The following is a 24,932-nucleotide window of genomic DNA, read 5'->3' on the forward strand; positions in this document are numbered from 1 at the left end:
TCTCCTTTTTGTGTAGGACAATAAAGCCTTCACTGTTGGGGTCTTCTCTTCTCTGTCCCAGGGGATGACGGGAGAACTTTAGGTCATGTGGAACCCTCTGAGCTCTGAGTCACCCAAGGGCTGGAAATTCCTAAAAGCATGATTTCCAGACATTGTCCCTGGTCCCTGTAGATCTCTAATTGCTTCTTCTCTCTCCCACTCTTCAGTAATCCATGACAAATTGCCTCTCCAAGAAAGTGAAGAAGAAGAGAGGGAGGAGAGGTCTGGCCTCCAACTAAGTCTTGAACAAGGTAAAAATGACAGAATAAAAGCTTTTTTCTAAGAGAGGTTAGGGATCCAAGGTTCTGAGTGGAGATTGTGAATCAGGGAAGACATATGGAAGGACTATGGAGAAGTCAAGGAGAGAGTTATATGAGCTTCTAACCAGGTGCAGGGTCCTGGAGAAGTGGCCATGACAAGGCATAGTTGGCTCAATAACCATGAGGGAATCAGAACCAAGCGTGTCAGTAGGCCAGATTTACAGATGCCGACTACCTAGAAGTAATTGTAATTTAGAAAGGTCCCTGTAGGGGATCAGTGTGAAGTTGCAAAGGGTTAAGAACCACAGCCCGTGGCCCGTGGTCAACATCAAAGAGGAGACCCCTGGGGAAAGAAAGGCTCCTGTTTTACCTGTACTGTCATATTCACAACACTTCTGACACCAAACATGTCGGTGATCTCCCCACATCAGTCAGTTCTCCAATTCTCTGTAGATACCATCTGATATCTTATAATTTAATTGAATTCTGGCACTAATTGCCCAGACTTGGCACGGACTCCGCAGGTTAAGGGCTCATTCCCATAAGAATGCCCCCCACTTCAGATGCCAGTTGCAAGTCTCAGGTTGTGGCCTGTGCCTGTAAATTGGAGGTTCCCGCAAGCCCTTCATTGGCTTTCATACTTTCCTAGTAGATCACACAGATCTCATGGAAATGTTGACTTATATTTGACATTTATTATAAAGGATACAACTCAAGAAGAGCCAAGTGGAAGAAATGCATAGGGCAAAGCGTGGGGAAGGGCACAGAGCTTCTGCCCTCTCTGGGACACGACTCTCCTGGCACTTCCATGTGTTTGCCAACCCAGAAGATTTCTGAACCCAGTCACTTAGGGTTCTTTATGGACATTCCATTATACAGCCTGGATTGATTAAATCATTGGCACCTGATTATTAAGTTAACCTCCATCCCTCCTCTCCCCTCCCTGGAGGTCAAGAGGTGGAGCTGAAAGTTCCACCCCTCTAATCTCATGTTCAGCTCCCCTGGCAACCACACCCCAATCCTTAGGGGCTTTCCAAAAGTTACCTCATTAACATAAACCCAGGTGTGGTCGAAAAGGGGTTGTTATGAATAACAGAAAGTGCTCTTTTCACTTGTTATGACTTAAGATGTTTTAGGGTTTTAGGAGCTCTGGCCAGGAGCAGGGAATTAAGACTGAAATGTATATTTCTTATATCACGGGAGAAACTTGGTGATGGCAGAAGAGGGGACAAATTTAAATGTGAGGATGTTGTTCAAGAGCAGGAATATTCAAAGAGAAAGGCGGTCATGTAGAGAGACTCAGAAAGGAAGTGATGCACATGGGAAGAGGATGTAAGTACCTAGAGGACAAAGGAAGGGAAATGAAACCGTGAAAAGGGGTAAAAGACAACAAAAATAACCTTGTCATTAACAGCTCACTTTGATTGAACATCTACTCTGTGGCGGTTGGTTTAATGCTCATGACAGCCATTGGAGATTAATATTACTTATATGCCTATTTTGCAGATAAGGTAACTGAAATCCAGAGATACCACAAATGGAGTTTACATAGGGTCAGATGAATAAGGAAAAACCCAGATGTTCTACCCCAGAGCCTGCATTCCTAACCCTGTGCTATCCAGGCAATCTAAAAAAATAAAAACAGAAAAATGAAACAAAAATGAGGAAATATTTGCAGACAAAAAGATCCAGAAAAAAAGAATACCAAGAGCTGGAGGAAGTAGAGGCTACTCAGACACTGAGTCCTCATGGAAAAGCCAATGAGAAAGCATGAACAGATGTGGAGAGGGAGGGTGTTGTGTGAAAGGGGGTGGGCATGAGGCAACCAGGACTTCAAAGAAACTGAGCTAAGGGCCCTGGGCAGGGTAGCTCTGGGGACAAAGGCAGGATCACTCTGCCATCATCACTTACCAGAGTGTCTCACAGAGGACACGCAGCAGAGTTGTCTGGCCAAGGCCCCTGTCATCCAGGGGTGCAGCTGACCCAGTCCCCTACTCTCAAGGCTGGAGTCTGACTTCAGTAATTAGGTAGCATCTGCCAGCTCCAGGTGGCCTTTGCATTGAGACCTAGAAGGGGTCTTTAACTCCTACGTTACAGAGACCAAAAAGGGATTAGGGGAGAATGGCAAAATCCATACCTCGATTTCTGAAATAAACTTCTAATTTCTTCCTGCCAGGAACTGGTGAAAACTCTTTTCGAAGCCTGACTTGGCCACCTTCGGGTTCCCCATCTCATGCTGGTTTGTTCCTGTTTACTACTCTTTGAGCCTCTGCTATTCTTGCCCCTTTCTGGAATGTGCTGTGGGGTTGCCTCTTTGTGTTAATGATTGTCCAGAATTTTCAGGTTTTACATCTACAGTTTTTCCATTTCTGGGATTTAAATAACAAGTCCTTATCCTCTAGGTTGCCTAGGAGGGTTTCTTCCTCCCACACCCCTTAATCACACTTGCTGCTGGTTCCTGCTGCCGCTGAGCCTGGTCGTTTTACCCATGTGCCTGCTTCACCATTTTCTGCCTGCATCTGCTTGAATCTGGCTGTTGCCTTGGTGCCTTGACCTTACGTCCATCAGTGGCCCGTGCTGTAGTGGTTGGAGGGGAGTGACAGGCAGCAGAGGGCAAATAAAATACCTGTGAATCAAACCATGGTTTAGGTACAACCCCACCTGAAAATGGACTCTCAGAGCACCCCTGTGAAACAGAACAGATAAATGCAAAGAGAAAAGATACAACCAGTGACAAAGATGATTCGCTAGGAAGCCAACAAACAAATGAACAATGTGCTCAAAAGGCTGAGCCAACAGGTAAGACTGACTGGGTTGGCATGAATGGGGAGGAGCCAAGGGGCCCTGGCTGGTGGCAGAGGAAGAGTCTAATGCACAATACAAGGAGACACCTGTTTAACAAGCAGGGGAAAATCACATAGACACAGAGGGGGCCTGTTATACAGATGAGCCTGATACACTGACATACTGATGACAAAGACCTGGAGGAAGAAAGCTAGAAGCAAAAAACTGAGAGAGAAAGGGGAAGAGTTGCAGAGTCTCACCAAAGAAGAGAGACAAACAAAAGGCAAAAGGAGAAAGTAAGAGAGAGATTGGACAGGAATCAATGAAGCACGAACACCTTCACGCAGCAATATATGCAGACAGGGGTATAAGTAGAAACAGGAGAAGAAAGGAGAAGCAGGGTGAGGTCTAACCAAATGGAAACAGGACAGAGCAAGGCTCTACTGGATCTCAGCTGTGATCTCGTTTATCTCCAGAGTCCTGCGAACAAATTGCTGTCCAAGTGAATAATGGGGATGCTGGAAGGGAGATGCCCTGCCCGTTGCCCTGTGATGAAGAAAGTAATTATTGCTTACCTTGCCTATTTTCTTTCCTTTCTTATTCAGATGCTATACATTTGGTTGGTTGGTTGGTTGGTTGTTGTTTTACCATCGTAACCACTTTTTAAAATTACCAGATTAAAAGCTGGATGTATTTATCATTACATGTTGTTTTGAAATATGTACACATTGTGAAAAGGCTAATTAGAGCTAATTAGCATAAATATTACCTCACGTACTTATCATTTTTGTGGTGATAACACAAAACCTATTCTCTCAGTAATTTTTAAGAATACATTATTAACTATATTAATCGTGTTGTATAAAAGATCTCTTAATGTATTTCTCTTATTTAACTAAAATTTTGTATCCTTTGACCAACATCTCCCCAGTCCTCTTCCTCATATCCCCAGCCTCTGTTACCACCATATACTCTCAACTTCTATAAATTCATCTTTTTTACACTCTACATATAAGTGAGATGTCATATATGTCTTTCCATGCCTGTCTTATTTTACATAACATAATATCCTCCAGGTTCATGGTTGTTGTTGCAAATAACAGGATTTCTTCCTTTTCAAAGGCTAGATAGTATTTCAGTGTGTAGATGTATTTCATTGTGTATATATTTTCTTTATCCATTCACCCACTGATGGGTACTTAGGTTGTTTCTGTATCTTGGCTATTGTGAATACTGCTGCAATGAACATGGGAGAGCAGATATCTCTTCCATATACAGATGGTCCCTGATTTATGATGGTTAGACATATGATTTTCAACTTTACAATGGGTTTATTGAAGTATTAAATGCATTTTTGACTTATGATGTGTTCAATTTATGGTAGGTTTATGGAAATGTAGTCCCATCGTAACTCTAGGAGCATCTGTACTGATTTCATATCCTTCGAATATATATTCAGTAGCGAAATTCATGGATTGTATGGGTAGTTCTACTTTTTATTTATTTGAGGACACTCCATACTGTTTTTCTTAGTGATTGTAGCAATTTACATTCCCACCAACAGTGTACAAAGGTTCCCTTTTCTGCACATCCTCACCAACATTTGTTATCTTTAGTCTTTTTGATAATAACCATTCTAACCAGTATGTGGTGATGTTCATTGTGGTTTTAGTTTGCATTTTCTTGATGATATCCGAGGCAGGGCATTTTTTCACATACCTGTTAGCCATTTGCATGTGTTCCCTTAAGAAATGTTTATTCAGGTCCTTTGCCCATTTAAAAATCTGTTTGTTTGTTTGTTTGTATTTAATATTGAGTTGTTTGAGCTCCTTATGTATTTTGGATAATAATCCTTATCAGACACATGGTTTGCAAATATTTTTTCCCATTCTGTAGGTTGTCTCTTCACTCTGTTGATTGTTTCCTTGCCTATGCAGAAGCTTTTTAGTTTGATGTAATCCCAGTTCTTTTTGCTTTTGTGATTGTGCTTCTGGTGTTATACCCAAAAAATATTTGCTCAGACCAATGTCGTGAAGCTTTTCCTCTATATTTTCTTCTAGTAGTTTTACAACCTTGGGTATTAAATTTCAGTATTTAGTCCATTTTGAGTTAATTTTTTAATATGGCATGAGATGGGGTCAAATTTCATTCTTCTGCATGTGGATATCCAGTTGTCCCAACACCATTTATTAAAGAGATAGATATCCTTTACCCATTGCATATTCTTGGCACCTTTGTTGAAAATCAATTGACCATAAATGCATGGATCCAAGCTCTCTATTTTGTTCCATTTTTCTACATGTCTATTTTATGCAAGCACCATGCTCTTTTGATTAACATAGCTTTGCTGTATATATTGAATCAGGTAGTGTGATGCTTTCAGCTTTGTTCTTTTTGTTTAAAATTCCTTTGGCTAGTTGGAGTCTTTTGTGCCTCCACACAAATTTTTAAATTGTTTTTCTATTTCTCAAAAATGCCATTTGAATTTTTTTTTTTTTTGAGATGGAGTTTTGCTCTTGTTGCCCAGGCTGGAGTGTAATGGTGCAATCTCAGCTCACTGCAACCTCTACCTCACAGATTCAAGTAATTATCCTGCCTCAGCCTCCTGAGTAGCTGGGATTACAGGCATACTCCACCACGCCCAGCTAATTTTTTGTATTTAGTAGAGACAAGGTTTCACCATGTTGGTCGGGCTGGTCTTGAACTCCTGACCTCAGGCGATCCACCCACCTCAAACTCCTAGATGCTGGGATTACAGGCGTGAGCCACTGCACCTGGCCGCCATTGGAATTTTTATAGGTATTGCACTGAATCTTTAGAGGACTTCGAGTTGTCTGGACATTTTAACAATATTAATTCCTCCAATCCATGAACATGGGGTATCTTTTCATTTCTTTCTTCTTCAGTTTCTTTCATCAATGCCTTAGCATTTTCAGTGTGTGCATATTTCACCTCCTTAGTTAAATTTATTCTTAAGTATTTTGTTGCAGTTATTGTAAATTGGATTGTTTTCTTGATATGTTTTTCAGAGAGTTTATTGTTAGTGCATAGAAATGCAACTGATTTTTGTATGTTGCGTTTGTATCCTGCCACTTTACTGAATTTGTTTATTAGTTCTAGCAGTTTTTTTTTTTTTTTTTTTGGTGGAGTCTTCGGGATTTTGTATATATAAGATCAGGTCATCTGCAAATAAGGACAATTTAAAACTTCTTCCTTTCCAATTTGAATGCCTTTTATTTCTTTTGCCTGCCTAATTGTTCTGGCTAGGACTTGCAGTAACATGTTGAATAGAAGTGAGAATGGGCAATCTGTATTGGTCCATCCTCACACTGCTAATAAAAGACTGGATAATTTATAAAGGAAAGGGGTTTAATTGACTCAAGAGTTCAGCATGGCTGGAGAGGCCTCAGGAAACTTACGATCATGGCAGAAAAGGGGAAGCAAACACGTCCTTCTTTACATGGCAGCAGCAAGGAGAAGTACAGTGCAAAGGGGGGACAAGTTCCTTATAAAACCATCAGATCTTGTGAGAACTCACTCACTGTTGTGAGAACAGCATTGAGGTAACTGCCCCCATGACTCAATTACCTCCCACTAAGTCCTTCCCATGACATGTGGGGGTTATGGGAACTACAATTCAAGATGAGTTTGGGTGGGGACACAGCAAGACCATATCAGCATCCTACTCTTGTTTCTAACCTTAGAGGGAAATCTTTCAGTTTTTTGTCATTAAGTATGGTACTAGCTGTGGGCTTGTCATGTATGGCCACTATTGTCCTGAGATACATTTCTTCTATATCTATTTTGCTGAGAGTTTTTATCATGAAAAAATGTTGAATTTTGTCAAATGCTTTTCCTACATCTATTGAGATGATCATATGGTTTTTGTCCTTCATTCTATTAATGTGGTGTATGACCCTTTAGATATGTATATGTTAAACCATTCTTGCATCCCAGTGATAAATCTTATTTGATCATGGTGTTTAATGTGCTACTGAATTTGATAGTATTTTATTGAGGATTTTTCATATACGTTTATCAAGGATAGTGGCCTATAATTTTCTTTTCTTGTAGTGTTCATGTCTAGCTTTGGTATCAGGGTAATGCTGGCTTCATAAAATGAGTTTGGAAGTAGTCCCTCTTATTCAATTTTTAAGAAGAGTTTGAAAAAGATTGCTATTTGTTCCTTAAATATTTGGTAGAATTCAACAGTGAAACCATCTGGTCCTGAACTTTTGTTTGGTGGGTGGTATTTTATTATGGATTAAATCTTACTCATTATTGGTCTGTTCAGATTTTCCTGTTTCTTTGTTATTCAGTCTTGGTAGGCTGTGTGTGTTTAGGAATTTATCCATTTCTTCTAGGTTATCCAATTTGTTGGCATTAAATTGTTTATAGCAGTGTCTTATGATTCTTTGTATATATGTGGTATGAGAAAGGTAGTGTCTCCTCTTTCATTTCTGATTTTATTCATTTGAGTGTTTTCTCTTTTTTCTTAGTCTAGCTAAAGCTTTCTCAATTTTGTTTATTTTTTCAAAAAGCCAGTGCTTTGTTTTGTTGATCTCATTTTTTTCTAGTTTTGAACTCATTTATTTCTGATCTGATATTTATTGTTTCCTTCTTTCTGCTAATTTTTGCCTTAGTTTTTCTTCTTTGTCTGGTTTCTTGAGGTGTAACATTAGGTTGTTTGAGATCTTTCTTCTTTCTTTATGTATTCTTGTGTTTATTGCTATAAACTTCCCCTCTTGTAACTGCTTTTGCTATATCCCATAAGTTTTGATATGTTACATTTCTATCTTCATTTGTCTCAAGATTTAAAAAATTTTTTCCCTTTAATTTCTTCATTGACCCATTGGTTATTTGGGAGTGTACTTAATTTCCATGTATTTGCAAATTTTTCAAAATTCCTCGTTATTGATTTCTAATTTCATATCATTGTGGTCAGAAAGTATATCTGATATAACTTCAGCCTTCTTTACTTTGTTAAAACTTGTTTTGTAGCCTAACATATGATGTATCCTGTAGAATGTCTCATGTACAATTGAGAAGAATGGTACTTTTCTGCTTGTAGATAAAATATTCTATATATGCCTTTTAGGTCCTCTTGGTCTAAAGTATAGTTTAAGTTTGATGTGTTCTTATTGATTTTCTCCCTGGACAATCTGTCCACTGCTGAAGGTAGGGTGTTGAAGTCCCCTAGTATTATTGTATTAGTCTCTCTTTCCTTCAGATCTATTAATATTTGTTTTATATATTTAGTTGCTCAAATATTGGGTGCATATGTTTACAATTGTTATATCATCTTGATAAGTTGACTCCTTCATCATTACATAATGACCTTCTTATTTTCTTTCTTTCTTTTTGTTTCTTTTGTTTTTTGTTTTAGTTTTTGTTTTGGAGACAGGGTCTTGCTCTGTCACCCAGACTGGAGTGCACTAGTGCAATCATGGCTCGCTGCAGCCTCAACCTCCTGGGCTCAGGCAATCCCCCCAAGTAGCTGAGATGACAGGCATGTACCATCACATCTGACTAATTTTTTTTAGTTATTTATAGAGACAGGATTGCCTTATGTTGCCCAGGCAGGTCTCAAACTTCTGGGCTCAAGCAATACTTTCACCTCAGCCTCCCAAAGTGTTGGGATTACAGATGTAAGCCACCATGCCTGGTTTTATCATGACCTTTTTTGCCTTGTTTTATATTATTTGATTCAAACTGTATCTCATCTGACGTAAGTACACCTGTGCTTTCTTTCTTTCATTTCCATTTGCATGAAATATCTTTTTCTATCTTTTCACTTTCAGTCTATGTGTTTCCTTAAAAGTGAAGTGAGTGTCTTGCAAGCCACATATACTTGGTTCATGATTTTTAAATTCATTCAGCCACTCTATGTCTTTTGATTGGAGAATTTAATTTATTTACACTTAATATAATTACTGATAGGTAAGTACTTTCTAAAACCATTTTGTTTATTGTTTTCTGGTTGTCTGTAGATTCTTTATTCCTTTCTTTCTCTCTTACTGTCTTCCTTTGTGATTAGGTGATTTTCTCTAGTGATACACTTTGATTCCTCTTTATCTTTTGTGTAATCACTGTAAGTTTTTGCTTTGTGGTTAACATGAAGTTTACACAAAACATCTTATAACAGGCTATTTTAAGCTGATAACAACTTAATTTTGATTGCCTACAAAAACTGCACTTTTACTTTGCTCCCTCATTTAAAATGTTTGATGTCAGAGTTTACAAGTTTTATATAGTGTATACTCTAAAAAATTATTGTAGCTACTATTTTTTGACTATATATTTACTTTACCAGTTAGTTTTATACTTTCTTATATTTTTATATTATTAGTTAGCATTTACTTCTTTCAGCTTGAGCATTTCTTGTAAGACAGGTCTGGTGGTAATGAATGTATTCATCTTTTGTTTTCCCGGGACGGTCTTTATCTCTCCTTTATTTCTGAAAGACAGCTTTGCCAAGAAAAGTATTCTTGGTTGTCAGGTTTCTTTTTCTTCCTTTGGCACTTTGAATGTTTCATCTCATTCTCTCCTTATCTGTAAGGTTTGTGCTAAAAAGTCCACTGTTGTCCTTATTAAAACTCCCTCATATGTTAGTTGCTTCTTTTCTTTTGTTGCTTTCAGGATTCTCTCTTTGTCCTTGAATCTTGACAGCTTGATTATAGTATGTTTTGGTGTAGTCGTGTTTGCACTGAATCTGATTGGAGACCATTGACCTTCTTGTACCTGGAAATTTATGTCTTTCACCAGATTGGCAAAGCTTTATACTATTATCTCTTTAAATTAACTTTCTACTTTTGTCTTTCTCTTCCCTTTTATGAATTCCTGTGATTCAAATATTTGCTCTTTTGGTGTGTTTCATAAATCCTGTAAGCTTTCTTCATGACTTTTCATTCTCTTTTCTTTTTCTTCTCTGATTGTATTTCAAATAACCTGTCTTTGAGTTCATATTCTTTCTTCTGCATGATCAATTCTGCTGTTGATGCTCTCTGATGCCTTTTTAAATTTCATTCATTGTATTTTTCAGCTCCAGAATTTGTTTGATTTTTTAAATAATTTCAATATCTCTGTTAAACTTTCTCATTTTGGTCATTTATTGTCTCCCTAATTTTAGTGAATTGTTTCCTATATTTTCTTAAGGTTTGCTGAGATTCCTTAAAACAATTATTTTGAATTCTGCATAAGGCAGTTTGTTATCTCCATTACTTTGGGGTCTGCTATGGGGAGATTATTGTGTTCTTTTGGTCATGTTGTGTCTCTTTGGTTTTTATGTTTCTTGTTGCCTTACATTTATGTCTGTACATTTGAGAAAGTAGAAACTATTCTAGTCTTTGCAGGCTGACTTTGTCTGGGAAAGCCTTTCACCCTATTTAAAGATTCTAAGATGGCCATCTGGCATGGTACAAGGGCAGGCTTGCTGCTAGAGTCCTCAAGCAGGCTAGTCTGGTGCCTAGGACAACCAGTGGGCAGGTCTGTGCTGGGGGAAACCTTGAGCCAGAATCTGCAGGGCTCTACACCACTGATGCAGGCTTCTTCAGGCACTTCAGTAGGCATGAAGCCCAGTGCTATTGAAGCCAGCTTGCTGCTAGGATGGGCCTCAAGCCCAGTGCCACTTGGTCCAGTTTGGCACTCGGTCTGGTCTGGATCATGGGTTCACTGAGGCTGAAATAGTGCTGTAGGAGGCTGAAGACTGAGTTCGCAGGGCTGGCCTGAGTCCTGGGGCTGCAGGATTTAGGTTGGGGTCAGAGTGAGCTTGGAGGTTCAGACCATGGGTACTGGCTAGAGTCTGGGGCTTTGGGAGCTGGGTTTTACTGAAGTCGGTTCTGTGGTTTGGGTGTAAGGCAAAGTCTGGTGCTCACTTCCTTCTCCTTTCCCCAAGCATATTGTATCTTGCTCAATGCTGTGCTTCCTGGAGTTGGGGAAGATGACACAGTGAAACTTTTCTTCCTGCCCTTTTCAATGTGCTCTTTCTTATTTCTGTGTTTCACTCAGGTGCTGTGATCTTTCATCTGGTTTCCTCAGCTCTTGCAAAGGTATTTTCATGCATAGGTCGTTGTTCACATCAGTGTTTCTGCAGGGGATGGAGGGCTGGAGAGTCCTATTCTCCCATCTTGCTCTACTTCTCCCCAATTTTCTAATTATATCTTTATTTTTCTATAAGGGCAAAACTTCCCTTTGTTTTCTCATACTAACTGCCTACACTCATCCAAGACACACAGACTTTGTTCACAGCCTCTGGCTGCTTTTAACAGGTATGAGATGGAAGGGAAAAAGAGAGTGAGTCTTTTTAACAGAGGGACTGTCCCTGGTTAGAGAATGCAAGAAGAAAGAATACAAAAGAGGTCAACTAGGGAATATTAAATAACAAAACACAGTTGACCCCTGGACACTGTGGGAGGTTAGGGGTACCAATGCCCCATGCAGTCAAACATTTGCACATAACTTTTACATTCCCCAAAACTTAACAACTGCTGTTGACCAGAAGCCTTACTGATAACATAAACAGATGATAACACATATTTTCCATACGTATTATGTGCTGTATTCTCACAATGAAGTAAGATCTCCAAAGGAAAATGTTATTAATACAATCATAAGGAAGAGAAAATATATTTACTATTCATTAAGTGGCAATAGGTAATCATAAAGACCTTCATCCTCATCATTGAGTAGTTTGAGAAGGAGGAAGGAGAGGAGGGGTTGGCCTTGCTGTCTGAGGGGTGGCAGAGGTGGAAGAAAATCTGCATACAAGTGGACTCATGTAGTTCAAGCCCCTGTTGTTGAAGGGTCAACTGTGTATGAGTGAGACAGATTTTAGATAAAGTGACATGGTATCCATACATTGTCATGTTGTGGAGTTGTTGAATAGAAATATGTTGCAAGTTACTTTTCAGAAGTTATCATGAAAACGTAGAAATTATGCATGATGCTGCTTGTCAGATTTGCAAAGGAAGGAAGCCCAGGTGAAAGACCTTCAGGAAGGAATGGCAAGTGGAGGGCCTCTGGTGTGGTAGACAATGGCACTGGAAGAGACCTTTCGTAATGATGGGAATGTTTGAGATGAGGAAGATATAGAAAGACAAAAAGTGATATAGCACTCACACATCAGATGCGAAAGTATTTTTGAAAAAAAAGTGACATAGAAGAAGCTTGCAGAGGTAACGTTAATAATTAAGAAATAAGGGCCGACTCAAAGCAGGTAGGAAATGTAACAGAGATGCAACATTACATATGGGACAACAGGCCTGGCACGAGGTGAGGCAGGGAGGCCCCCAGGGCACAGCATGTAAGGAGACCTCACTTGGCATGTGAGACTGAGCTTCCTTAAATTTCAAGGCACCCCATAGCACCACCTTCACCTCACCCTGGTTCTGTCTCTAAGAGACAATAATTTTTAAAAAGTGTAGATAAAAAGACTATGAATAGAAAAAACATAGAGGGAAATAAATACCAAGAAATAGGAAAAATGGAGGGAGGCACAAAGAGAAGTATGCAGAAAATGAGTTAAAGGACAATGAATGAAAAATTGGTAGAGAGTGGATCATGCAAAGAAGGGAAGAGAGAAGACAAATCAAGACATTCTCTGATCTGAGGAGATAAGAGCTAGAAAGGAGGCACAGGGTGTCCTATTACTATGGAGAAAGATCAGCTGCCCTCTTATCAAAATGGCCCCTGTGACTCCACCTCCACCCCCAGATTACAATAAGCCTCTCCTCAGGCATCACTTCCTCTCCATGGCTCAATCACCATCTAAGATCTGTTGATTTCTAAACATACATCTCCAGCTCAGACCTGTCCTGTTGACTCCCTTCCCCAATTGCCTGAAGACCTTTATTTAAAGACCTGAAGAACATCTCTCTTTGGAAGCTGCATCTGTCATCTATTGCTGTGTCATGTAACAAACTATCCTGAAACTTAGTGGCTTAAAACAATCATCATTTCATTTGCCACTTGTGTCAATCCCAACTTTAAAATATCTCTAACTTGTCCATTTCTCTTCATCCCCAGCACGAACACCCTAATCTAGACCCCTGTCACTCTCACTAAAATTAGAGGAACAGTCTCCTGTCTGGCCCCCAGTCTTGCTCCTCTCAAGTCTGCACTTCAGTTGAATGGACTTTTCCAAAATAGAAACCAGTTGATATGACTTTCCTGTTTGAAACCCAGTGCCTTCGTGTGGCCCTTAGCAGTAGATCAACACTGCTTGGAGTGGTGAATTGAAGGATGTCTACCACGCACCTGCGCGTTCCCCGTCACCCACCTCTCGCCCTTTCATGCCACATTCCCACCACACTAAGCTTCCTTTACTTACTGGAATTTGCCAAGCTCTCTTTCTTTCATCTCTGCCTTTATATATGCTTTTGGGAAAACAGTTTGGGGTAATCTTCCAAAGGTGAAAATATACATACCCTATAACCCAACAATTATATTCCTCAGCAGAAACCAACAGAAATGTGTGTTATGTCACCAAAACACATAGAAAAGAATGCTCAAGGCAGCATTATTCATAGAAGCCAAATGCTTGAAATTGTACAAATGAATAAATAATTCATGGCTTATTTCTATAATGGAATACTATCTAGTAGTGAAAATAATTATACAAAACGAATACAGATGACTTTCACAAGCATGTTGAGTAAAATATCCATACAATTTTGGGGGATTTGGCTTCTTTTGGGAGATCTATATATATTGAGAGAGAGGTAAAGGGAGAAAGAAAGAGTGGAGAGAAAAGAGATTATTCCATTTTTATAAATTACACAACAAGCAAAATTAACCTTAGTGTTGGAAACCTCAATGGTAGTTGTCTTTGAGCAAGTTAGTGGAAACAGTTAATGGGAAGTGTCACCAGGAGGTGTCTGGGGTATTGGTAATCTGTTTCTTTTTTTTTTTTTTTTTTTTTTTTTTTTTTTTTTTTTTTTTTGAGACGGAGTCTCGCTCTGTCGCCCAGGCCGGACTGCGGACTGCAGTGGCGCAATCTCGGCTCACTGCAAGCTCCGCTTCCCGGGTTCACGCCATTCTCCTGCCTCAGCCTCCCGAGTAGCTGGGACTACAGGCGCCCGCCACCGCGCCCGGCTAATTTTTTGTATTTTTAGTAGAGACGGGGTTTCACCTTGTTAGCCAGGATGGTCTCGATCTCCTGACCTCATGATCCACCCGCCTCGGCCTCCCAAAGTGCTGGGATTACAGGCGTGAGCCACCGCGCCCGGCCGGTAATCTGTTTCTTGATCAAAGTGATTTACTTCCTTCGTGATCATTCAAAACCCACTTTTATTCATGTGTCTTATACTGCAATTATAATTTTTATTTTTTTTAAAAAGCAAAATATTAACCATCAAAGAATGAGACGAGTAGGTAAAGGGAAAGGTAAAAAACAAAACAGAGCCAAGAGAGGCACAAAGGAAGGGACAGAGTTGAGCAAAAGGAAAAACACGGAGGTGGGGTGAAGGTCTAGCCCCAGCAGTGAAATTGCAGAGAGGGGGAGTTATTAATGATAGTGAAGGAGGTTCACTGGGGACACAAATGAAAATTCTTCATTTATTACAATTAGGCCCAGAGGCAGAGCTACACAACCATGGAATCCAAATTAATTCCTGTTCTGTGCGACTGGTGGATATAAAAAAGGAAAAGCCATTTTCTAATTCAAAAGTTGAGTGCCAAGCCCAAGCAAGAACTCATCATAACCAGGCATCTGACATAATAGGTAAGGCTGACTGGGAGAGTTTGTAACTGTGAGTCACAGGTTACCAGGTAAGGGGCTCAGGGACTTCATCACGGACCATCGGGGCAGTGCAGGTAGCCTGGGATGGAGGCAGGAAGGGAAAGGGGCTGGCACCTGATGCAGTGAGTCTTCAGCTTGACAGAAGAAAGTCCTTAGGAGTTGGGAAAATACCAGAAGACAGAAATGGAGGTAATCAGTAAGAATGTCAGAGAGGCTATTTCTGAAGTCAGAGAGGGCTGGGCCTGATGGCTCATGCCTGTAACCCCAGAACTTTGTGAGGCTAAGGCAGGGGGATCGCTTGAGTCCAGGAGCTCAAGATCAGCCTGGGCAACATGGCGAAACCCCATCTCTACAAAAAATATAAAAATTAGCCAGACAAGGTGACACATGTCTGTAGTCCCAGCAACTTAGGAAGCTGAGGCAGGAGCATCGTTTGAGCCTGGGATGCGGAAGTTGCAGTGAGCCAAGATTCCGCCACTGCACTCCAGCTTGGGCAACAGAGCAAGACTCTGTCTCAAAAAAGAAAAAAAAAAGGAAAAAATAAATAAAAAATAAAAAAGAGAGGAAGGCATGGGAGAGGAGTTAAAAAAAAAATCAGAGAGCCAAGATATTCACAAGAGGAGATGGGGAGGGAAACACATCAAGACAAAGAGAGGTATAAAGAGACACCATCGCTGGAAACAGAGGCAGAAGCAGGGGAGATGGCAGAACAAAGAGGAAAGATGAGAAGTAAAATGAGAGTGAAAGAAAAAAATAGAATGAGGGTTGGGGTAAGAACAGTGTCAGTGGATGGGCACAACTGCCTTCTGTGTGTCAATTTTATCAGCTTTTGGTTAAGAACTTGGAACAAACTGCAGGTGGCATGCATTCAAGGAACACCCCAGGGTCTTGAGTTAACTTAGCTTCCTGGGTCTTCCTAGTGCTCTCATTGTGGAATTTCCTGGTGCATGGACTCCTTGGTCACACCCTGAGACTCTTAATGGTTTTTGCTCCTTTGTGCAGTCATCAGCAGTGAGGACTCTGAAGGATCCACTGACGTTGATGAGCCCTTAGAAGTCTTCATCTCAGCACCGAGAAGTGAGCCTGGTAAGGAAGTTTGGGAGAGCAAGGCTTGGGCTGTGGGAATCTGATTTAAGAGCTACTATTTCCTGAGGCATTTTATTCTGAGCTCATTCTGTACAATGGATCCAGTTTATCCTGGGATCCCATTCTTTGCATTAATTTTACTTGACCTTTTTGGAAAATGCAGGGAGACAAGAAATTGTTATAAACTTATTTTTGAGAATTAGCCTTCTTTCTTGATGGATTCTATTAATCAATATTCATACCCATACATTGATTATATAGTAGGAATAGGCTAGCCAAGTGATGAGTTTGTTTTTAAAACTAACTAGTTGCTATGCCTATATAGTGTTAGATTTATATAGTGATTTTTATAGAGAACAGAAAACTAAATATTCCTTTATGGGAAGATGTTATTGTCATCTGATCACAAACTTTGAATAGGGTCAAAAGACATCTCATCCAACTATCTGGTGTTGGCAAAAACAAACACCTGAGATAAAGTATTCTGAAACTTGAAGTATTGTTTCTGATAGAGTTCTTCAGCAAGTCATGGCACATTTAGTGATTTTTTGAAAGACTTTTGCAAATTGTCTTATTTTTAAATTTACAATAACCTTAAAGGGGTAAACAGAAGAGAGATTCTCGTCCTTGTTTCCTAGATGAGAGAACACAATTGCATAAATGTTTCAAAGTCATCTCCAAAATCTCATGGTAAATTAAAGGAAAGACAAGACTAGCATCCTGGATTCTGAGTTACTTCCTTTGTGAAATGAAAGAGAGAAACATTATTAAAATCTTGTATTATCTCAATCCTATTTGCAGCATGAGTTGTCATAAGATTTATAACATAAATACTTATCATAACATAAGTATGCAAATTGGTTGATTTGTTTTGCCCTTTACTTTCTAGATCCAGAGGATATTAGAAATATGCCACTTTAGGGAAAATACACTAGGGAAAGACCTAAGAGCAAAGAAGAACCTCATCTTGATGTTATAAAATAACAATGTAATAATACATTCATTCTAATTGCTCACTGTATCTTTCAAAGTAAAATGTAAATTTGCATTAGTTTTTAGACAATATGTACTCTAACTTTGAACTTAGTGTAAGCAATCTGCTGTAAAAAATAGTCCCAAAATATGTCTTTGGCTCAAATACATGAGGAGATTATTTCTCAGCCTTGTAAACAATTCAGCAAGGCACTGGGTTGGTGGGAGGTAGAAAAAGCTCACGAATTTAACAGAAGATCTTCAAGGTCCCCCTGCATGAAAAATAGAAGCAGAAACAAAGGAAATGTGGAATGGCAAGCAGAAGGGATAAGAAGTAAAAGAAGCGTGGGAAAGCAAAGGCCAAGCAAGGCAAATATTCCCTCTGGGGACAAGAATGGAGTATCACTAACCCACAATGAAGGTTAGTTGAAAGGCAAGACAAGCATGGCCTGTGTACAGGCGAGGACTTGCACGGATTTTCAAGGTTTTCCAGGTTTTCTTATTAGGGAATTTCCTACTGAACTGATTCCTTGGTCACACACTGAGACCTCTAAAGAATCCCATTCTTTTGTGCAGTGATCAATAATGACAACCCTTTAGAATCAAATGATGAAAAGGAGGGCCAAGAAGCCACTTGCTCACGACCCCAGATTGTACCAGGTAAGAATATTAGAGTTGCAACCCGAGACTGTAGAATATCCAGAGTACAAATCCAGAGCTCTGTTTTCTTGATTAATTTCATTCTGAGTGGTCTCCTTATGCCTTGATTCCATAAATTCTAGAATATCACTTTCTACATTTAACCTCTCTGGCCCTGTTGAGAAATGGAAGACATTAGGAAGGTGTTATAAACTCTTGTTTAACTGGATTGGTTCAATCGATTGATACATTGAAAATGTAGCAAAAATATGCTAGTAAAATAACAGTCTTTTTAACAACAAACTATCAAGAGTTATTATTTCAAGAGTTGAAATAATGTACTTATTCTCTACTACTACCCTTTATATTTGATAGAGCATGATAAGCACAGTCTTCCTTTGTTCATTGATAATTATTGTCTTAATCACAAGCTCAGAAAGTCTTCAAAGAATACTTTGTGCTGCTATTTAATTATTAATGGCAAAAAAAAAGTGACTTCAACTACACCCAAACCCAAATTATAGTTCACTTATTGGCTTACATTGTGATTTTTCACAGGGCTTTTGAAAATGAACCTTCATTTCCCCATCACAAAAACCTTAACAGGGAGGTAGGGTAACTAGTTTATCCCTGCTTTATATGTGAGAAAATGGGAGCTAGTGGTGTTTAAGAGTCATTTATGACCAGGCGCAGTGGCTCACACCTATAATCCCAGCACTTTGGGAGGCTAAGGCAGGTAGGTGGCTTGAGCTCAGGAGTTGAGATCAGCCTGGACAACATGGAGAAACTCCACCTCTACCAAAAATACAAAAATTAGCCAGGCATGGGCCGGGTGCAGTGGCTTACTCCTGTAATCCCAGCACTTTGGGAGGCGGGGGCAGGCAGATGATGAGATTAGGAGTTCGAGACCATCCTGGCCAATATGGTGAAACCCTGTCTCTACTAAAAATACAAAAATTAGCCAGGCATGGTGGCGCTTGCCTATAGTCCCAGCCACTCGGGAGGCTGAGGCCAAAGAATCACTTGAACCCAGGAGAGGGATGTTGCAGTGAGCCAAGATCATACCACTGCACTCCAGCCTGGGTGACAGAGCAAGACTCCATCTCAAAAAAAAAAATTAGCCAGGAATGGTAGTGTGTGTGCACCTGTGATCCAGCTACTCGGGAGGCTGAGGTGAGAGAGTCACTGGAACCTGGGAAGTTGAGGCTGCAGTGAGTTACGATTGTGCCACTGCACTCTAGCCTGGGTGACAGAGTGAGACCCTGTCTCAAAAAAAATAAGTAAAAAAGAACGAGATCATGTATTTTGAGAGAACGTAAATGGAGCTGGAGGCTATTATCCTTAGCAAAGTAACGCAGAAACAGAAAACCAAATACCATATGTTCTCACTTGTAAGTGGGATCTTAATAATAAGAACTTATGAACACAAAGAAGGAAACAGCAGATGCTGGGGTCTACTTGAGGATGGAGGGTTGGAGGAGGGAGAGGAGAAGAAAAGATAACTATTGAGTACTGGGCTTAATACCTGGGTGATGAAATCATCTGTACAACAAACTCCTGTGACACACATTTACCCATGTGACAAACCTTCACATATACCCCCAAACCTAAAATAGAAGTTGAAAAAATTAATTAAAAAGAGGCATTTCCAAATAATACACACAGAGGATTATGGAGAGAGCTGGGCAGGATCCCAACATTATGACCCTGAACCTCCAGAACTGGATTCACTAGAAGGAGAGAGAGAAAAACGCTCATCAAAACTTTGTTATTGGCAGGGCACGATGGCTCAGGTCTGTAATCCCAGCATTTTGGGAGGCTGAGGCAGGTGGATCACCTGAGGTCAGGAGTTCGAGACCAGTCTGACCAACACAGTGAAACCCCGTCTTTACTAAAAATACAAAAATTAGCCGGGCTTGGTGGTGCACAACTATAATCCCAGCTACTCAGGAGGCTGAGGCAGGAGAATCACTGGAACCTGGGAGGCAGAAGCTACAGTGTACCAAGATTGCACCACTGCACTCCAGCCTGGGTGATAGAACAAGACTCCATCTCAAAAAAAAAAAAAAAAAAACTTTGTTATTAACCCAAGCCCATTTGCCATGTCAGTTGTCATAGAATTTATAAGTCTCTTGCATACAAATAACGGGTTTCTCCCTTTTACTTTACAGAGCCCATGGATTTCAGAAAATTATCTACATTCAGAGAAAGTTTTAAGAAAAGAGGTAAGAGAAAGCTTTAGGAAAAGAGGTAAGAGAAAATAACTTCTCTTCATGGTTATAAATGAACAATATTTTCTACAAAAGAGTCAGTCTAATTCCTTGCTATATCCTTCAAAGTAAAATATAAATTTGCTTTAAATTTCAATGGTTCCTATTTTAGCCTTTGTATTAGGGAGGTTGGCTAACTGCTATAACATATGAACCCAAAGAAGTCAATGACCCCAACACAACAGAAGGTTTTTTATTTTTTTAGTAGAAGTTTGTATTTTTTTCAACTGAATATTTCAAGGATTTTTAGATGAGGGAAAGGTTGGGCTCTGTTTCAAGCAGTTCTTCAGGGAAGCAGGCAAGTAGAAGATCTGCCTTCTCCCATCCTAGACTTTCATGGTTGCCCTGAGAGAGAAGCAAATTTACAAATAAATACAAATCCATATACAAAAACCACAACAAAACCATAAAGGGACAAGTAAAGAAAGAAAGATAATGTGGTGTAAGAAGACAGAGGGCCAAGACAAAGCAGAGATGCCCACTGGGGCTAAAATTTTCTCAGCCTCAGGCTCAGGTGACAGTGAGGGATAAAATACTAACCTTGAGCCACACAAATCTGAATGAAAAGGCAGATCATGGAGGTTTGAGGCACGGACATTCTTGCCCTGAAGTTTCAGAGCATCACAAATTTTCCTAGTTTCCTTTTCATAGAATATTATTCTGACTTGGTTCCCTTATCATACATTGAGAGCTCCAAAGGACATTTGCTCCTTTCTGCAGTGATAGGACAAGACCACGACTTTTCAGAATCCAGTGAGGAGGAGGCGCCCGCAGAAGCCTCGAGCGGGGCACTGAGAAGCAAGCATGGTGAGAAGGGTAAGAACAGCTCCCTTGACTTCAGGGCTCTGACTTCAGAGCACCTCTTCCCTGATGCACTGTGCTCTGAGCACACACAACAGCTATCCAGGAGCCAGTTCTCTGCATCTACCTCATCTGGCCATTTTGAAAAATGCAAAGAAAGAAGTCACTCTAAATTCAGGCTTAACAAGATGGTTGTGGTTGAGTGGCAGTGGCCTGTTTACTACATACTGCCTGTATTAGTCCATTTTCATGTTGCTGATAAAGACATACCTGAGACTGGGTAATTTACAAAAGAAAGAGGTGTAATGGACTTACAGTTCCACATGGCTGGGGAGGCCTCACAATCATGGCAGAAGGTGAAAGGCACGTCTCACATGGTGGCAGACAAGAGAAGAGAGCTTCTGCTGGGAAACTCCCCCTTATATAACCATTCAGATCTTGTAAGACTTATTCACTATCACAAGAACAGCACAGGAAAGATCTCTCCCCATGATTCAATTACGTGCCACCAGGCCCCTCCCACAACACATGGGAATTCAAGATGAGATTTGGGTGAGGACACAGCCAAACCATATCACTGCCAGACCTATTAACTCCAAAGTATTGGATTTATGTAGTGATTTCTACTTCTGCTCATTCTCTGTTTTGTAAAGAAAAGAAAGTACACTAGTCTGTTATTGCCTGATTTTGTCACCAACTTGTTCAAAATTCCAAAGCTTCTGGTCATACTCTCTAGTTATTGACAGAAAGAAAGCCTCCTGTTTCTTACCATCAGATTCAATTCATAGCTTTTGACAGATGGCCCCCAACATGAAATTGGCCAAATAGTGATATTTGAAAATATATTTACAAATAAGATCTACTTGCATCTTTACAACAACCTAAAAGGTGGGTGAGATAACTATTGTTCCCCCCATTTGACAGATGGGGAAACTAAGGCACACTTAAGGATCTTTTTTCTTTGCACATCACATATGGAAAGTTATAGGAGGAGACAAGACTAACAACCCAAACTCTTAATAAACATTCATAATCCTCTATAAAACCTTCAAAGCCAGATGTACTTCAAAGTTCAAAAAATGTTTTATTATTTTAGAAAGACAATGTGGTTTATATTCTATATACAACAAAATACCCTAGTAGGATCCAGGGAAGAATCCCATTCTCAAATATACTAATGTTTATACAGCAAATTATATAAATATTCACACCAAATATGATAAGATTTTACACGGACTCATGGCAACTCAAGTCCAGATTCACTGCCAAATTAGTTAGCTGCAAACCTATGAAAACAATACTGGTTATTAAAATATCTTTGAGGCCAGGTGTGGTGGCTCACGCCTATAATCCCAACACTTTGGGAGGCTGAGGGGCTGAGGCAGGTGGATCTTTTGAGCCCAGGAGTTCAAGACCAGCCTAGGCAACATGGCAAAACCCCATTTCTACCAAAAAATGCAAAAAATTAGCTGGGCATGGTGGTGGTGCATGCCTGTAGTCCCAGTGATGTGGGAGGCTGAGGTGGAAGGATCATTTGAGCCTGGAAGGTCAAGACTGCAGTGAGCCAAGATTGCACCACTGCCCTCCAGCTTGGCTGACAGAGTGAGACCCTGTCTCAAAAAAAAAAAAAAAAAAAAAAAAGTCATTGATTTTGCAATTAGGGCTAAAGGATTGTGGGTCTGTGCTCCATTTGATAGTAATCTCTTTCCCTTAGATGGGAAGAGACAGAAATGATCCTCATAGAATATTTATAGTCCAAATTCTGTCAACAGTGTAAGCAGTCATAAGATTTATAGATCTTTTAGTTAGATATTATTGATTTGGTTTTCCTTTACTTTCTAGCTCCTATGACTTCTAGAAGTACATCTACTTGGAGAATACCCAGCAGGAAGAGACGTAAGAGCAATTAAAAACTCTTGATGTAACAAATGTCTTTATTTGCTGCAAAAGCTACATTCACTTTTTATGTTATATCCTTTAAAATAAAAAATTAATTTGTTGGGATTTTAGATGATTTGCATTTTACATTTTCAATTAGATGAGTTGGGCTGGTATAAAACATAAGCCTCAAAATGTTCAAAGGCACAAGTGCAACATAAGTTTATTTTTCACTCACATAAATAGGATAAAGTAGTTCCTGAGTAGAGGGGGTGCCCACACAGTCATTCAGGGCCCAGCTGATGGGGGCTCTGACATCTTTAAGATGTTGCTTCCATGGTTCCCTTGGATAAGAAACTGAGATGGAAGCAGAAGTATGTGCAAACTAATAATGAAAGCCTAAGAAGCGTAAGAAACAACGTTGTCCTAGGATTGTATTCAGAAAAGATTGAACATTATGTATGTTCCTTTTATTTGATTATGCATGAATGAGATAGGAGAAAACGATGGAAGGATCCACACTGATCTGTTGACTTCACTAGCTGGGAGACCAGAGACAGAATAGGGTAGGAAAAGAGAGCTTTGGGGTTATATACATTTGCATTCATTGGTCTTCTTATGACAAGCATATATTGCTTTCTTAATTTGAAACCACCCAATGAAATGGATGATTTATAATAAATACATATTTTTCCCAAAGTTAAAAAAAAAAAAGAAGAAGAAACAATGTCATCCCCAGCCCCAGCCTCAGAGAGGGCTCCTGGAGCAATCTTGACCAACAGGTCAGATGATCAAAGCCAAAGGGTGGCCTAGTGGTGGGACTATTTCTCCCCCTCCTCCACAAGCTTCTCTTGTTCAGTTTTGCTTTTAAAGAATTCCCTGCTGATTCCTAAGACTCAGACTAAGACTGTTAAGGAATTTTATTTTTTTCTGCAGGTTTCAGCAGTAGTGACTTTTCAGACCTGAGTAATGGAGAAGAGCTTCAGGAAACCTGCAGCTCATCCCTAAGAAGAGGGTCAGGTAAAGAAGATTAGGATGCCAAGACTTGGCCTGCAGAATGTCAGGAATGTGAATTAAAAGCTGCTGTTTCCAGACGCTTTTTATTCTGAGCACCTTCACTACCTTGTATCCAGTTCATCTGGGAACTCCTTTTTGCATTTTAGAAAATGGAAAGAGGCAGGAAATTATGATAAACTCATGTTTAACAGAAAGAGTTTCACTGACTAAATGTATGTAATTATATTTTGTTGTTGTAGAAGAAATAAATAGCAAATTTGTGGTATTCTTTTTTTTAAACCTGCTCTCATTCCTATTAACACTAAGATCTTAGATTTTTATAGTGATAAATGGGTTGACATCATTGTCATTTGTAATTGTAAAGCCTCAAAAGACAACTGTTCCTACTATGTAATTATAGACAGAAATAAAAACTTCAGATCAAACACTCTCAAACGTTAGTATAGTTTTTGGTAGATGTCCTTCATCATGTAATTGGATTATATTGTGTTATTTCAATGTCTTTTGGCAAATAATATCTTATTTTGTCATCACAAAATTTTTAAGACATAGGCAGGCTAACTATACCCATTTTGGGGTGAGGAAATAGATGTACAGAAGTATTAGGGCCAAAAAACTAAAGAAACAATAGAAACTAGCAACCCAGGTGTCTCACGGTGGGTGACTGTTGTATGTAACAGACAGGAGGATAAGAGCTGTGTCATTTAAGTCAAAGTCCAAAGAAGATGCGCAAGGAACTCAGAATATTCACAGGAGACTATACCAGTGCCTGATGCAAGAAAGCTTATTTAACAACCACTGTGTGTGTGTGTGTGTGTACACATGCATATATTTGTTACATATAACATGTATACATACATAAACACACACATATGTGTGTGTATATATGTATATTGGTTAATACATATAATCTTTAGGGGGAGGGAAAAATAAAAATCGCAAACAGACAGAGATAATAGGAATGGAACCAGCTATATAATATACAAAATACCTAGAAAGACAGAAGCAAAATAGATAAACATAGAAATAAAGGAGAACAGAACATCATTGATGGAAACAGAAAAAGCAACACAGGAGACAAGATAAATCAAAGGGAGATGAGCTCACCGAATCAAAGAGACAGAGACAAAAATGTATAGCAGCAGGGCAATGGGCAGAAAAATGAGAAGTGAGAAGGAGAACGAAGTGTGGCCAGATAGAGTAGGGCTATGAGGTGTACTCATTGATATAGGTGTATTTTTTTGTCAGTCCGTTTAAGCTCTGAAAATAGTTCAGCATGACCACATTGAGACAGGTTCCCTGGTTTCCTCGTCACTGTCTATAGTCTATTATTTCCTTGTTTGTCTTCATTGTCCTGTGAATTTAGAGCTCCTCCAATGAATACACAAAGAGAGTCAGAAGAGATGCAGCCCATTAGCTTGTGATGGAGAAGCCGATTATGATGTTCAG

The 24,932-nt window shown here is 39.6% G+C and overlaps 1 protein-coding gene and 1 long non-coding RNA gene across 7 annotated transcripts in view, besides 1 other annotated feature; one reads left to right on the top strand and one right to left on the bottom strand.

The window, feature by feature from the left end:
- SP100 (SP100 nuclear antigen) overlaps positions 1–24,932 on the top strand; it is a 129,406-nt gene that overhangs the window by 30,412 nt on the left and 74,062 nt on the right. For 3 of the 6 annotated variants that reach the window (NM_001080391.2, NM_003113.4, NM_001206701.2), the window contains exons 5-15: positions 207–290; positions 2,476–2,538; positions 2,949–3,098; positions 3,560–3,643; positions 14,650–14,802; positions 15,823–15,906; positions 17,455–17,538; positions 19,689–19,742; positions 20,508–20,603; positions 22,431–22,484; positions 23,403–23,486. In NM_001080391.2, coding sequence (NP_001073860.1) covers positions 207–290; positions 2,476–2,538; positions 2,949–3,098; positions 3,560–3,643; positions 14,650–14,802; positions 15,823–15,906; positions 17,455–17,538; positions 19,689–19,742; positions 20,508–20,603; positions 22,431–22,484; positions 23,403–23,486 — 990 coding nt within the window. Of the gene's footprint in view, positions 1–206; positions 291–2,475; positions 2,539–2,948; positions 3,099–3,559; positions 3,644–14,649; positions 14,803–15,822; positions 15,907–17,454; positions 17,539–19,688; positions 19,743–20,507; positions 20,604–22,430; positions 22,485–23,402; positions 23,919–24,932 lie in introns of those variants that run through there. The other 3 variants (NM_001206702.2, NM_001206704.2, NM_001206703.2) reach the window with 2 other exon arrangements.
- Positions 1–24,932, bottom strand: part of LOC101928816 (uncharacterized) — a 71,871-nt gene that overhangs the window by 5,178 nt on the left and 41,761 nt on the right. The gene's annotated exons all lie outside the window — the stretch shown is intronic.
- Positions 1,328–1,597: an enhancer, noted in NCBI's record as "active region_17224". NCBI's record gives its function as "activates an Ori minimal core promoter by ATAC-STARR-seq in GM12878 lymphoblastoid cells {active_cell/tissue: GM12878}" and the evidence as "EXISTENCE:reporter gene assay evidence [ECO:0000049][PMID:35858748]".

Source organism: Homo sapiens, chromosome 2 (genome assembly GCF_000001405.40).
Source record: "Homo sapiens chromosome 2, GRCh38.p14 Primary Assembly".
Lineage (NCBI taxonomy): Eukaryota > Metazoa > Chordata > Mammalia > Primates > Hominidae > Homo > Homo sapiens.